Source organism: Homo sapiens, chromosome X (genome assembly GCF_000001405.40).
Source record: "Homo sapiens chromosome X, GRCh38.p14 Primary Assembly".
Taxonomy (NCBI): domain Eukaryota; kingdom Metazoa; phylum Chordata; class Mammalia; order Primates; family Hominidae; genus Homo; species Homo sapiens.
This window is the reverse complement of record NC_000023.11, coordinates 129,012,043-129,027,986: the sequence shown is the minus strand read 5'-3', so window position 1 is coordinate 129,027,986 and position 15,944 is coordinate 129,012,043. Positions and strand designations below refer to the sequence as shown.

Here is a 15,944-nt window from a genome sequence, read left to right as displayed (position 1 = left end):
ATGGAGTCTCGCTCTGTCACCCAGGCTAGAGTGCAGTGGCATGATCTCGGCTCACTGCAGCCTCCATTTCCTGAGTTCAAGCAATTCTCCTGCCTCAGCCTCCCCAGCAGCTGGGACTACAGGTGCCCACCACCACACCCGGATAATTTTTTTTTTTTGTATTTTTAGTAGAAACAGATTTTGCCATGTTGGCCAGGCTGGTCTTAAACTCCTGGGCTCAGGCGATCTGCCTGCCTTGGCCTCCCAAAGTGCTGGGATTACAGGCGTGAGCCACCACGCCTGGCCAATAATAATATTTAAAAAACTCTCACAGCTGCATACCAAAGCCCAGGACCTTAGAAAATGAAGGCTATAGGAAGGGACCACATCTGATAACAGCCAAAACTAATCAAGGTGCTTATTGGTCCCAAAGATCTTGTAGGAACAGTGTTAGAAGGAGCCTTTTAGATATAAGAAAGGAAGGAGCACATTGGCTGGTCAGTTTAGGGGGAATTTAGGGAAGTCTATTGCTTCTGAATTTAGAAGTTGTATTTAGCATCTTACTACTCCCAAAGCCCACTTTTCCCCTCCATTGTAATTTCTTCTTTTGGAGGAAGTGGTGGAGAGGATTCCCTAGTTATTGGTGATGTTTTGGAAGAAAATAAACCAAGTTTTAAAATCTCACTTTACCCATCCAGTAACCTTTGGGCAGAGGGCAGGATGAGGTATTGAGCTATTTCCAACTTGTGAGGATCTCCATGTTACCTTACTGTCTCCCCCAAAGCCCATTGCCAGACCATGAGCCTAGAGAGAGGACAGAAGAATACCAATGTAGGAGATGACAAAAGGTAGACAGGAAGAAAGAAGAGAAGGCTTTCTTCCCATTCAGTTTTGTGATCAGGGATGTGGAGGCTGGTGAATTAGGACCCTGGTGAAGGGGAATAAGCACCTGTAAGCAAATCCTATGGCTCCAGAGAAGAGCGTGCAGTACAGAGTAATGCAAGGGAGGGGCAAGGCATGGCTAACTAATGAGGATGTGGACACTTATGTCACAATGTAGCTGTGCAGTGCACAATACATTGCATATCTGTCAAAAATTCTTGGATGTGTCCAGGAATGGCTACATCCTAGAACAATAATGATATACTGAAATTTAATGGCATGAAAGCAAACAAAATCCATCCACTCTCAATGCAATAAACCTGTGACTGTAGCATCCCCCAACATTATCTGGGTGATGAAAGATTGAAGGCCATTTAGGCAAGTGAAGTTACCAGCTGACTAAATTATCTTTTATGATAATTTTCTCAGAAAGATTCCAGAATAATGATCCTATCAGTAAGTCCATATTTTATATTTTATTCCAAAAGATGGAGCTAGAATATCTCAGACTAGATCCAGAGGGAAAACAAACAAAACAAAAACGGGTTAAGAGAGCTTATTGGAGATCTAGTAGTGACCTGTGTGAGCCTATTACCTGCTTCTTTTTTGAAGTAAAACCAATATCACTATCCTGGTATACAGAACAAAATTGGCGAAAGCTCCTTTGGAAGCTCCTGAGCCATCACGTGGGGAGTAGCATTCAGACAGGCTTAATAGTCCAAAAGTCTATGCAAGTCACAAGCACACGCCCTGTGCTTAGTAATTACGGAGTGCACTTATGCTAATTAGTCCAGATTTACAGATTAGCAATGCATTTTAACGATTTAATTATAATCCCAATGTAATATATAAGGGATGAAATTGAACATTGCAATGCTGTTACTGATTGGAGCTTCTTTGTTTTCTTATTATTTTTAAAGGTGTGCACACATGGGTTGGGGGAGAGGGAAGAGATTTATAGGCGTTCTAGGAATGCTCATGTAATAGATCCCTGGCTTATAATAAAATAACTAGAGCAGAAAACTGCGGCATTGTACATTCAACAGAAGGAGTTTCCAAGAAGTGTTCAGTCTCTGAAAGGATAAACTGATTAAGAGGCCATCTACCTCCAAATGCTACCCCCTAGTAAGGGCGACTTCATAAAGAATTTTGTTAATATTGATATTTAGCCAGTGTTAAGGCATAGTAAGCTAATCGGAGACAAAGATAATGTATAGTAAATAGGTTTTAAGAAATTCACTTATCTGAGTTGCTCATTTAGCACCCCCTGTCATTTAATCGAGAGCAGGATCTCCAGGAGAGACCAAAAGCTTGACACGAGTTTAGCAAAAAGAAAAGGAAAAAGAGTTGGCAGAACAAGGCCCTGGTTAGGCTTTCCCTGGCTTTGGGAGTTACATCATGAGGGCATCGGGGCCGGGAGAGAGAAGATCAAAGACAAACTTTATTCACTTCCAAATTTGGCTGTAGTTAGTTTTATTATTCACTTCACCAGGAAACCTGAAACTAGAGAGATAAGCCCTTACATTTTTATAACACGTTCTAACTTTGTAATGAGCTCTGTTCGTTATCACTTTTGATCTTCACAGAACCCTGTGAAGTTAGCAGAGTCAGGTTTTATTACATCCATTTGGCAAATAGCCACCTGCATTGTTATCCTCTTCACTTTTGTGGTGGATCATTCTTAAGCAGGGAAAAGGCTCAAGAAATTGGGTAGATACTTAAAGAAATAAACTGCTAAATTAAAACAGATAACACTGTTCTATCTGGATTGTGTTTTCAAAGCAACTTTATTTAAGTAGAATTGACATATATAATATAACTGCACATATTGAAAGTATATTCTTTGATAAGTTTTGACGGATGTATATGCCTGTCAAACTATCACCACAATCAAGATGATGAGTATATCCAACACCCTCCAAAAGTATCTTTGCACCTCTTTGTATTTCTTCCCTCCCTGTCTTCCCTGCTCTGGTTTTTTACTTTCTTCTCCTTAATTTGAGTTTCATATGCTCTTCTTCTAGTTTCTTAAGGTAGAAGGTGAGGTCATTGATATGAGATCTTTCATCTTTTCTAACATAGGCAGTGAGTGCTATAAATTTCCCTCCAAGTACTACTTTGGCAGTAACCCCAAACTTTGATCAATTGTGTTTTCAATTTTATTCAGGTCAAAATACTTTCTAGTTTCCCTCTGGAATTCTTCTTTGACTCATGGGTTATTTAGAAGTATGTTATTTAGTTTAAAGATATTAGGGGATTTTCCAGATATTTTTCTACTACTTATTTAGAATGTAATTCCACTGTGGACACAAAATATCCTTTTTATGACATGAATCCTCTGAAATGTATTGAGACTTGTTTTATGGCCCAGAATATGGTTTGTCTTTGTAAATGTTCTATGTGTACCTGAAAATAATTTGTATTCTGCTGTTGGGTAGAGTGCTGTCTCTATAAATTAGGTTAAGTTGGTTGGCAGTATTTTATTATTATTATTATTATACTTTAAGTTCTGGGATACCTGTGCAGAATGTGCAGGTTTGTTACATTGGTATACATGTTCCATGGTGGTTTGCTGCACCCATCAACCCATCACTTACATTAGGTATTTCTCCTAATGCTATCCCTCCCCTAGCCCCCCACCCCCCAACAGGCCCTGGTGTGTGATGTTCCCCTCCCTGTGTCCATGTGTTCTCATTGTTCAAACTCCCACTTATTCTCATGAGTGACAACATGCAGTGTTTGGTTTTCCATTCTTGTGTTAGTTTGCTGAGAATGATGGTTTTCAGTGTCATCCATGTCCCTGCAAAGGACGTGAACTCATCCTTTTTTATGGCTGCATAGTATTCCATGGTATATAGGTGCCACATTTTATTTATCCAGTCTATCATTGATGGGCATTTGCGTTGGTTACAAGTCTTTGCTATTGTGAACAGTACCACAATAAACATACATGTACATGTGTCTTTATAGTAGAGTGATTTATAATCCTTTGGGTATATACCCAGTAATGGGATAGCTGGGTCAAATGGTATTTCTGGTTCTAGATCCTTGAAGAATTGCCATACTGTCTTCCACAATGGTTGAACTAATTTACACTCCCACCAACAGTGTAAAAGCATTCCTATTTCTCCACATCCCCTCCAGCACCTGTTGTTTCCTGACTTTTTAATGATTGCCATTCTAACTGGTGTGAGATGATATCTCATAGTGGTTTTGATTTACATTTCTCTAATGACCAGTGATGATGACCTTTTTTTCATGTTTGTTGGTCACATAAATGTCTTCTTTTGAGAAGTGTCTGTTCATATCTTTCACCCACTTTTTGATGGCGTTGTTTGTTTTTTTCTTGTAAACTTGTTTAAGTTCTTTGAAGATTCTGGATATTAGCTCTTTGTCAGATGGATAGATTGCAAAAATTTTCTCCCATTCTGTAGGTTGCCTGTTCACTGTGATGATAGTTTCTTGTGCTGTTCAGAAGCTCTTTATTTTAATCAGATCCCATTTGTCTATTTTGGCTTTTGTTGCCATTGCTTTTGGTGTTTTAGTCATGAAGTCTTTGCCCATGCCTATGTCCTGAATGGTATTGCTTAGGTTTTCTTCTAGGGTTTTTATGGTTTTAGGTCTTATGTTTAAGTCTTTAATCCATCTTGAGTTAATTTTTGTATAAGGTGTAAGGAAGGGGTCCAGTTTCAGCTTTCTGCATATGGCTAGCCAGTTTTCCCAACACCATTTATTAAATAGGGAATCCTTTCCCCATTTCTTGATTTTTGTCAGGTTTGTCAAAGATCAGATGGTTGTAGATGTGTGGCGTTATTTCTGAGGGCTCTGTTCTGTTCCATTGGTCTATATATCTGTTTTGGTAGCAGTACCATGCTGTTTTGGTTACTGTAGCCTTGTAGTATAGTTTGAGGACAGGTAGCATGATGCCTCTAGCTTTGTTCTTTTTGCTTAGGATTGTCTTGGTTGTGCGGGCTCTTTTTTAGTTCCATATGAAATGTAAAGTAGTCTTTTTCAATTCTGTGAAGAAAGTCAATGATAGCTTGATCAGGATAGCATTTAATCTTTAAATTACTTTGGGCAGTATGGCCATTTTGATGATACTGATTCTTCCTATCCATGAGCATGGAATGTTTTTCCATTTGTTTGTGTCCTCTCTTATTTCATTGAGCAGTGGTTTGTAGTTCTCCTTGAACAGTTCCTTCACATCCCTTGTAAGTTGTATTCCTAGATATTTTACTCTCTTAGTAGCAATTGTGAATGGGTGTTCACTCATGATTTGGCTCTCTGTTTGTCTGTTATTGGTATATAGGAATGCTTGTGATTTTTGAACATTGATTTTGTATCCTGAGACTTTGCTGAAGTTGCTTATCAGTTTAAGGAGATTTTGGGCTGAGACGATGGGGTTTTCTAAATATACAATCATGTCATCTGCAATCAGGGACAATTTGACTTCCTCTTTTCCTAATTGAATACCCTCTATTTCTTTCTCTTGCCTGATTGCCCTGGCCAGAACTTCCAACACTATGTTGAATAGGAATGATGAGAGGGAAATGATGTCTCTGGTAACCTCTTTCAGGCTGTTGCAATAATCTAGATTAGAGCTGATGAGGTTTTATTATGGCATTAACAATGAAAAACAAGGAAACTAACCTAAAGAACATAAAAACCAAAATAATTTAGAGACTAATGTGATATGAGGGGAGGAAAGAGAAGATCTTAGGATGTTTTCAAAACAGTCAAGAAGTATATATGTATGCTGTAAGAGTGATACAATAGACTTTGGATACTCGGGCTAAAGGTGGGAGGGGGGTGAGGAATAAAAGACTATACATTGGGTACAGTGTATACTGCTTCGGTGATGGGTGCACCAAAATCTCAGAAATCGCCACTAAAGAACTTATTTATGTAATCAAACACCAGTTGTTCCCAAAAACCTATTGAAATAAAAAATAAATTAAATGGTATATATGTATGCCCTGATTTCCAGGACTCCATTTAAATTTAACACAATGATTTAACATGAAAGTGCAAAAACACACTTTTGATTTATAATATTATCAACTTGGAATGCTATATCAGGACTTAACGCCATCATAAGTTGAGCACCTACATTCATTTTCTATTGCAGTATGTAGTAGGCAGAATGACCCCCTCAAAGATATCTGCAAACCATTCCCCAGAACCTGTGAATGTTACCTTACAAGACAGAATGAACTTTGCAGATGTGACTAACTTAAGAATGGAGAGAGAATTCTGATTTATCTGGGTGGGCCCAGTATTATCATGAGAGTCTTGATAAGATGGAGGTGAGAAGGTCAGAGTCAAAAAAAAAAGGTATGATGAAGGAAGCAGAGGTCATAGAGACAGACAAAAACCTGAAGTTGATGTACTACTGGCTTTGAAGGTGGAGAAAGGAGCCATGAGTTAAGGAGTGCAAGTGATCTCTACCCTAGAGGCTCCAGAAGGAGCCCAGCCCAGCTAGCACATTGGTTTTTAGGATTTCTGACCTCTGGAATAAGACAATAGATGTGGATTGTTTTAAGTCATATGTTTGTGATGACATGTTACAGCAGCAATAGGAAAAAAATATACTGTGTAACAAATTACCCCAAAGCTAGTGACTTAACACAGCATACATTTATTATCTCACAGTTTCCATAGGTCAGAAGTGTGGGTGTGCCTTAAGTAGGTTTACTGCATGGTGTCTCACAAGGCTGCAATCAAGCTGCCAGCCAGTGTTCTTATCTGGAATCTCCACTGGGGAAGAATCCATTTCCAAGCTCATTCAGTTTGTTTACAGGCTTCATCCCCTTCACAGCTGTAGAATTCAGGTTCCCATTTTCTTGCCAACTGTGGATCAAAGTCTGCTTTTAGGAAGTAGAGTCTGTCTGCAGTTCCTTGCCATGTGGCCCTCTCTGAAGGCCCTTTTACAGCATGTGTGTTTGTGTGTGTGAGCACATATGTAATCACAGGAGTGACATCCAATCATCTTTGTCATCTTCTACTAGTTAGAAGCAAATCACAGATCATTGCCACACTCAAGGGAAGGACATTATACAGGGTGTGAAGGTGGGGGCCATCCTAAGTTCTGTTGGCCATACTTGATGTTGAAAAATCACAATTAATCCTGTCGTCTTCTGTTAGTAAAATTTTGAATCAGGAAGAGCTTTGAGCTTGGCAGAGATGGGGAAGCTAAAGTTCATGACAGCATATATATGTTCTTCAAAATACATATGCTAGAATGTTTATAGCAACCGTATTTTGGACAGCTAAAAAATAGGGAAACTATCCAATTTACCCTCAGTAGTAGATTGGATATAATTAGTATTACTTTGAATGAATGTACAATAAACAGAAATGAAAGTGAACATTCTAAAACTATGTTCAACCATATGAATGAACATCTAAAACATAATATTGAGAAAAACTAGATATAAGAATGCATACTGAAGGGTTCAATTTGTATAAAGCACAAAAACACATAAAATGAATCTATACTGTTGCAAATGATAACATTTCCTTTTTAAAATTGTGTATATATACCACCTTTTCTTTGTTCATCTGTTGATGGACACTTAGGTTGCTTCCATGTCTTCGCTATTGTGAAAAATACTGAAATTAACATGGGAGTGCAGATATCTCTGACATACCAATTTCAATTCCTTTGGATATATACTCAGAAGTGGGATTGCTGGATCATAGAGTAATTCTATTTTTAGTTTTTTGAAGAACCTCTATACTATATTCTAAAATAGCTGTACTAATTTACATTCCCACCAATAGTATACTATGGTTCATTTTTTCCCCATATCCTCACTAACACTTGTTTTCATTTGTCTGTTTGATACAGCCATTCTAGCAGGTGTGAGGTGATATCTCATTGTGATTTTAATTTGCAATTACCTGATGATTAGAGATGCTGAACATTTTTCATATATTGGTTGGTCACTTGTATCTCTTCTTTTGAGAAATATCAGTTCAGATCCTTTGCCCGTGTTTTAATTGGGTTATTTGTTTTCTTGCTATTGAGTTGAGTTCCTTATATATTTTGGATATTAGCCCCTTATGATAGAACTGAAGAACATTATGCCAAGTTAAATAAGCCAAGAAAAGACACATACTGTATGGTTTCACTTATTTGTGGAATTGAAAAATGTCATAATCTGTTAAAATGACTATTTAAAAAATGCAGAAAATAACAAATGCTGTCAAGGATGCAGAGAAAGGGGGACACTCCTACACTGTTAGTGGGAATGTAAATTAGTGCAGCCACTATGGAAAACATGAAGGTTCCTCAAAAACCTAAAAATAGAACTACATGATCCAGCAATCCTACCACTAGGTATATAAGCAAAGAACGGAAATCAGTATATCAAAGGGATACCTGCACTTTTATATATTTCAGCACTATTCACAGTAGCTATGATATGGAATCAATTTAGTTGTCCATCAACAGATAAATGAATAAAGTAAATGTGGCATATATATACAACAGAACATTATTCCACCATAAAAAGAATGAAACCCTGTCATTTGAAACGGTGTAGATGGAATTGGAGGTCATTATGTTAAGTAAAATAAGCCAGGCACAGAAAGACAAATGTCACGTATTCTCACTCATGTAGGAGCTAAAAATTGATCTCATGGAGTTGGTGAATAGAATGATGTTTATCAGAGGCTGGGAATGGTAGTGAGGAGGGAGACATAAAAAGGAGTTGGTTAATGGATACAAAAATAGAAGGAATAAGATCTAGTATGCAGTGGCACAATATGGCAAATATAGTTAACAATAATGTATTATATATTTTAAAATAGCTAGAAGAGAGGATTTCAAATGTTCTCAACACAAATATTTGAAATGATGGATATCACAACTATCCAGATTTGATCATTATATATTGTATACTTTTTCAAAATATCACATGTATCCCATAAATATATCTATAGCTGTCATATATCCATAACAAGACAAATTAAAACTATAAAAAGTTGATCTCATAGAAACCAAATAAAAAGCTTGTTACCAGAGGCAGAGGAGAGAGGATGGTGAGGGAATGGGGAATGGGGAAATGTTGATTAAAGGGTACAAACTTTCAATTAGATTGTAGGAATAATCTTTAGTGATCTATTACATTACATGATGACCACAGTTAATAATAAGGTATTGCTAGCAAACCAAACCCAACAGGACATCAAAAAAAAAAATAATTCACCATGATCAAGTGGGTTTCATTCTAGGGATACAGGGATGGTTCAACTTACACAAGTCAATAAATGTGATTCATTATATAAACAGAATTAAGTGCAAAAGCCATATGATCATCTTAATAGACACAGAAAAAACATTGATAAAATCCAGCATCTCTTTATGATAAGAACCCTCAACAAACTAGGCATAGAAGAAACATACTTCAAAATAATAAAAGCCGTATCTGACAAACTCATAGCCAGCATCATACTAAATAGGGAAAAGTTGAAAGCATTCCCCCTGAGAAGTAGAACAAGACAAGGATGCCCACTTTCACCACTTCTAAACAATGTAGAACTGGAAGTCCCAGCCAGAGCAATCAGGCAAAAGAAAGAAATAAAGTACATCCAAATTGGAAAAGAGGAAGTCAAACTGTTTGCTGATGATATGATCTTATATCTAGAAAACCCTCAAACTTCTCCAAAAAACTTCTAGATCTGATAAACTCAGTAAAGTCTCAGGTTACAAAATCAACATACACAAAACAGTAGCAGTGCCAAACACCAACAATGACCAAGCTAAGAATCAAATCAAGAATTCAGTCCCTTTTACAATAGCTACAAAAATTAAAATACCTCAGAATATATTTAACCAAGGAGGTGAAAGATCTCTACAAGGGAAACTACGAAACACTGCTGAAAGAAATCATAGATGACAGAAACAAATGGAAATACGTCCCATGCTCATGGATTGGAAGAATCTATACAGTGAAAATGACCATACTGCCCAAAGCAATCTACAGATTCAATGCAATTCCCATAAATATACCACCATCATTTTTCATAAAATTAGAAAAAAAACCCTAAAATTTATATGGAGCCAAAAAAGAGCCCAGATAGCCAAAGCAATCCTAAGCAAAAAGAGCAAATCTGTAGGCAGCATATTATCCAATTTAAATTTATACTACAAGGGTTTAATTACCAAAACAGCATGGTACTGGTATAAAAGTAGACATATAGACTAATGGATCAGAGTAGAGAACCCAGCAGTTAAGCCAAATACTTACAACCAACTGATCTTTCACAAAGCATACAAAAATATAAATTGGGGAAAGGACACCCTATTCAATAAATGGTACTGGGAAAACTGTCAAGACACATGTAGGAGAATGAAACTGGATCCCCATCTCTCACCTTCTACAAAAATCAACTCAAGATGGATCAAAGACTTAAATATAATATCTGAAACCATAAAAATTCTAGAAGAATACCTGGGAAAAACTCTTCTGAACATTGGCCTTGGCAAAGCATTTATGACTAGACAAAAACAAAACAAAACAAACAAACAAACAAAAAAACAAATGCAACAAAAATAAAGATGAATAGATGGGGCCTAATTAAACTAAAAGGCTTCTGCACAACAAAAGAAATCGTTATCAGAGTTAACAGAGAACACACAGAATGGGAGAAAATACCTTTAAATTATGCACTTGAAAAAAGACTAATATGCAGAATCTACAAGGAACTCAAATCAGCAAGAAAAAAATCAACTAATCCCATTAAAAAGTGGGCAAAGGACATGCATAGACATTTTTCAAAAGAAGATGTACAAATGGCCAACAAATATATGAAAAAATGTTCAACATCACTAATCATCAGGGGAATGCAAATTAAAAAAACAATGAAATACCACCTTACCCCAGTCAGAATGGTCATTATTAAAAAGTCCAACAACAATAGATGTTGGCATGGATGTGGTGAAAAGAGAATGCTCTAATGCTGCTGGTGGCAATGTAAATTAGTACAACCTCTATGGAAAACAGTATGGAGATTCCTTAAAGAACAAAAATTTGATCTACCATTCAATCCAGGAATCCCATTACTGAGTATCTACCCAAAGGAAAATAAGTCATTATATCAAAAGACACCTGCACACCTATGCTTATTGCAGCAAAATTCACAATTGCAAGGATATGGAGTCACCCTAAGTGCCCATCAACTGATGAGTGGATAAAGAAAATTATATATATATATATATATATAACATATACACCATGGAATACTACTCAGCCATAAAAAGAATGAAATAATGCCTTTTGCAGCAATGTGGATGGAACTGGAGGCCACTATTCTAAGTGAAGTAACTCAGAAATAAAAAATCAAATATATATTCTCACTTAAAAGTGAGAACTAAGCTATGGGTACATGAAGGCACACAGAGTGGTATAATGGAAATTGGAGACTCAGAAGGGGGTAGGGGTGGAGGGGGATGAGGGGTGAAAAACTACCTATTGGGTACAATGTATACTACTCTGGTGACAGGTGCACCAAAAGCCTAGACTTCACCACTATACAATTCACCCATGTAACCAGAAACTACTTGTACCCTTAAAGCTATTAAAAAGTTAAAATATGGCACTAATAATGTATATTTCAAATTATCTAAAATAGATTTATGACATTCTTACAACAAAATGATAAATGTGTTTTTTTGTTTGTTTGTTTGTTTTTGAGGTGGAGTCTCAGTCTATCACCCAGGTTGGAGTGCAGTGGCGTGATCTTGGCTCACTACAACCTCTGCCTCCTGGGCTCAAGTGATTCTCATTCCCCAGCCTCCCGAGTAGCTGGGATTACAGGTGTGCCACCATGCCCAGCTAATTTTTTTTTTTTTTGTATTTTTGGTAGAGACAGGGTTTCCTCATGTTGCCCAGGCTGGTCCTGAACTCCTGGACTCAGAAGATCCACCCACCTTGGTCCCCCAAAGTGCTGGGATTACAGGCATGAGCCACCGTGCCTAGCCACTAAATGATAAATTGATGAGGTGATAGATCTGTTCATTAGGTTGATTGAATCTTTTTGGAATGTATACATATATCAAAACATCCCATTGTAGCCCATAAATATACATAATTGTTATGGCAATTACAAATTTTAAAAATCTAAAAATTAAAAAGTTAAAAAAGAATATAAAAATGAACTTACGCTAGAAGTCAGTGTAGTTGTTACCCTTGGGTGATGGTGACTGGATAAAAGCTGGAGAGCTTTTGTGGTGCTAGCAGTGTTTTATTTTTTGACCTGGGAATCGGTTACATGGACATATTCGTGAAAATTTACCGTGCTGGATGCTTATGATATGTGCATTGTCTTGTATGTATATTTTACTGCAATTAAAAGCTTTTAAGTCCAAAAACAGAAAAAGGAAAAGTAAAAAGCCAAGGTTTTGACTGTTGGGGTAAAGTGAGATGTATGACAGTGGCCTAAGGGCAGCAAGGACTGTAGTAGAGTGGTTCAGCTGGATAATCTGTTCAAAGTAGGGACACAAAATTGCAGCCAGAGAGCTGCCTAGGGTTGGCACTTGGCACCTTTTCAGGAGTTATACAGTGTTCCCCAAGCCCTGCATTCAGTGGAGGTGACCTTGAGAGTGCTGGTGTTTATGGCTTCTCTCCTGTTACATAAGACAGTTTTTAAAGCAAACTGTGGATGCGCAAAATGAACCTCCCCCTCCCAAGCACCTGGTAAACTGGTAGTGTGGCCTCAAGGAGCCTTCTGTACCTGTAAGAAACCTATCTTGGCTGGGTTCCTTAGGGGCTTTTTTGTGAGCTCACCATAATCTGTCATCTGATGCTAGTGGGAAGTAGCAGGGCGTAAGATGGGAACAACCACTCAAACACTTTCTGAGGCTATTAGGTGCGCCAGTGGTGCATTCTGGTTTCTGGCTTTAAGTCACAGGATTCATTTTGGCCTTCATGGACCTTTTATTTACTTTTTAGGGCTCTACTTCCCACTGGAGCCCAGAAGAAGCAGCAAGAAGATGGCACAAAGACAGAGTCCTCCACTAGTGAGCCTCTTTATCTTCCTTCTACAGAAACTCTGCAGAAACAGCAACTCAGGCTGTCCCTTAAGCAGCTTCATTGTCAAAGGCTCAATAGAATTCTCCTTCTGAACAAAGGGAGCTACATTTCTTTATCTGTCTAATTAATGCTTAGACTTAAAAAGAATGTATTCAGTCTGCAGCCTAGAGAGGATGAGCTACCTGAAATAAAAAAAGTATTTTCCTTTGGAAGAAAAATAAAATGTTGACGCTGTCTCTGCTGTATGGATTTTTACATCAGTTAGGGAGCTTGATAAATAGATATTAGAAAAACATTCCAGGGGATCTATTCTACCCCAGCCTAGACATTCAGGCTGCAATTCCCATTACCTAGCAGTCCAGTGGGTTGAAATTGAGCAAATGCAGATCGCTGTGAGATACACTAAATGTGTGTTGCACCAACCACTGTTTAATGTGTGCAATGCTTTCTGCCCTCACAGTTATGCATTTTCTAGTCTTGTGCCAAAAGACCAATCATCAAAATATAGTATGCTGGTGGGGAGCAAAAGAAAGTATAGAATGCATTCAAACATTGTCTTGCAGATCAATTCTAAACTGACCCTGCTGGCTTAGGAAACTCGGTACATGGATCTGCTAAAGCTTATTTCCCTAAATAAATCTCTTTCCCTTTCAAACCTCCCACCACATTGTGTCCCTGCTATTTCTGCTTCTTTTTGTCTTGCTGTCTATCTCTTTTCTACTACTTTGTGGGTGATTGGACCATGGTATCTTCCTTGTCACATCACATGTGATCATTTAAGTATCCGACAAGAGTCACAAAACAAGTAAAAATCATGCTATGGCACAACTAAATGTTTAGTATTTTAACTTGATGAAACAGTATTTCAAAATAGTTTAGCAAAAAGACATGGAATCATTGTAACATGCACTGACAGAGAATAATCTAACAATTGAAATAGCTGTGGGCTTGTATTCTATATGTACTATAAAGCTCAGCCTTCAACTATGAGAAACACTATGAACATAAAGTGATAAGCACAAAAAAGAGAAGCCAGGTAGCAGAGCACATTTTTCTATTCTGCTCCCTTGGAAAACAGATAGGTGTTTCTATAATTGAAGTGAAGCCTCTATTCCCTAGATTCTCTCCTTCGGAGACCAAAGATCCTCTCCAGAGCTAGCAAATTCAGGTTTCATCCACAGGCATTATACCTTGTCAGAAGTTTCAGTCCTGCTTCCTTCCTTTAGATTGGAATCCATTTTCCCCAAAGCACCTGCTCCAGTGCAACCCTTTTGCTGCGTTCTTAGCTAGATGTTAGCAGAGCGACCCCTAGGCACAGCTTTGACTTAGGCTTTCCTGTCAGTGTCTATCATAAAAGGTCATCTGGTTGGGAGGTGTGAGGCATGAAGCTTTATGATCTAACACAGCAGTGCTGTCTAACCAAGACATATAACTCCAAGGAGGAAAAAGAAGGAAGTTGATAGAGGAGTGAGAGACTTGGTGGCAGAGAAGCTGCAGTTCATCAGCCATGGAATTGCCCTCAGAGCCTGCACACTCAGTCTCTACCTCAGAGGCATTGCTCTAATTTTCCTAACTGTTTCAGTTCCTCTCATTTTCTGTACTCACTCACGTGGAGCTTTGTTTGCTTTAAAAGATTATTGTTTCAGTCCATTCTGGCTGCTACAACAAAATATAACATTTTGGCTTTTAAACAACAGAAATTTATGTCTCATAGCTCTGGAGGCTAGGAAGTCTAAGATCAAAGTGATGGCAGATTCAGTGTCTGCTGAGGGCCCACTTCTGGTTCATAGGTGGCCATCTTCTCACTGTGTCTTCGCATGGCAGAAGGGGTGAGGGATCTCTTTGGGGCCTAATCACCTCTCAAAAGTCCCCTATCCTAATAACATTTCCTTGGGGATTGGGAATTCAACATGTTAATTTTGGGGGGATATAAACATTCAGACCATAGCAACTCTCTTGCCTGAAACTAGTTGCATCTTTTTGTTTTGAATTTTATGGTAACCACACCTAGAGTCTGCCACCTAAGTCATCTCATTTGGGAAGTCAAAGGTATGAAGTTTTGTGAAACTTCTATAGAAAGACATTAATACTGTGCTCCTGACTAACCAAGAAATAGCATTACAAAAAGAGAAGGGGGTAAGGAGAAATATAGAGTCCCACCCCCTCACCCTCCCCAGCCTTCCCAACTTTTCCATTCGGCTTTTTCCATCTGTCTGCAAGTTGTGAAATGATCATTAGAGCCTGTAACAGCAGACCTCACCCCCTGCAACCTCAGAGTCCCTTCCTTCCATACATATATACAAAGTAATCTTTTGATTTGTGTTCATTCTACAACTCCCATTCCTGAAAGTTTCATCCTCAGTCCTCATCTCTGACAAATACTCAGGGGAAAAGGGTACCTCACTGATCTCTCCATCACCCATCTTTGACCACTCCTAGGAGGCCTCCTCCTGTCAGACACTCCAACTACTCCTGTTCAGGTTTCTCTGCCCCACAGGCCCAGCCTTCTGCTCAAATTCTCCTTTGGAAGTGTTTTTTAAAAAATCGATTTCTGTAATCTGATAGACAACCTTGTATTTTCCCCCTTTACACCCCCCCTCCACTATCGTGGAATTCTAACTATTACACAGTGGATACGTATCATTTCCTCATTAGTATATGCCTTCACTGTCTGGGTTAGCTGTAAACCAAATTGTGAACTGCTTATTGAGCATTCATGATCTCCCAGCATTATACCAACATTATCTCATTTAAACACTGGGACATCCCTATGAAGTAGGCATCATTATCTTTGTTGCGTAGGTGAGGAAATTAATGTCCAAAAAGGTAAAGTAAATTATCTAAGATTAAGTGACAGAGTCAGGAGTCAAAGCTAAGGGTGCCTGACTCCAGAAGCTTTCTCTTAACCAGCTCCCTGCAGAGGCTATTTGGCAGAGTTTGGCCCAAGTGGTATTATCCATCCTTTATTATTCCCCTGAGTCTCCATCTCGGCTCCACCTGGGTACCTGGGACCCTCAGGTTTCTCCAGGGCCTTTCTGGCATTGT

At 38.3% G+C, this 15,944-nt stretch overlaps 1 long non-coding RNA gene across 8 annotated transcripts in view; it reads left to right on the top strand.

Annotated features, from left to right (window-relative positions):
- Positions 1–15,944, top strand: part of LOC124905213 (uncharacterized) — a 275,363-nt gene that overhangs the window by 158,446 nt on the left and 100,973 nt on the right. The window contains exon 6 of one of the 8 annotated variants that reach the window (XR_007068321.1): positions 12,819–13,133. The exons of the other annotated variants lie outside the window; for them this stretch is intronic. This is a non-coding gene — a long non-coding RNA (uncharacterized LOC124905213). Of the gene's footprint in view, positions 1–12,818; positions 13,134–15,944 lie in introns of those variants that run through there. 8 annotated transcript variants of the gene reach the window in all.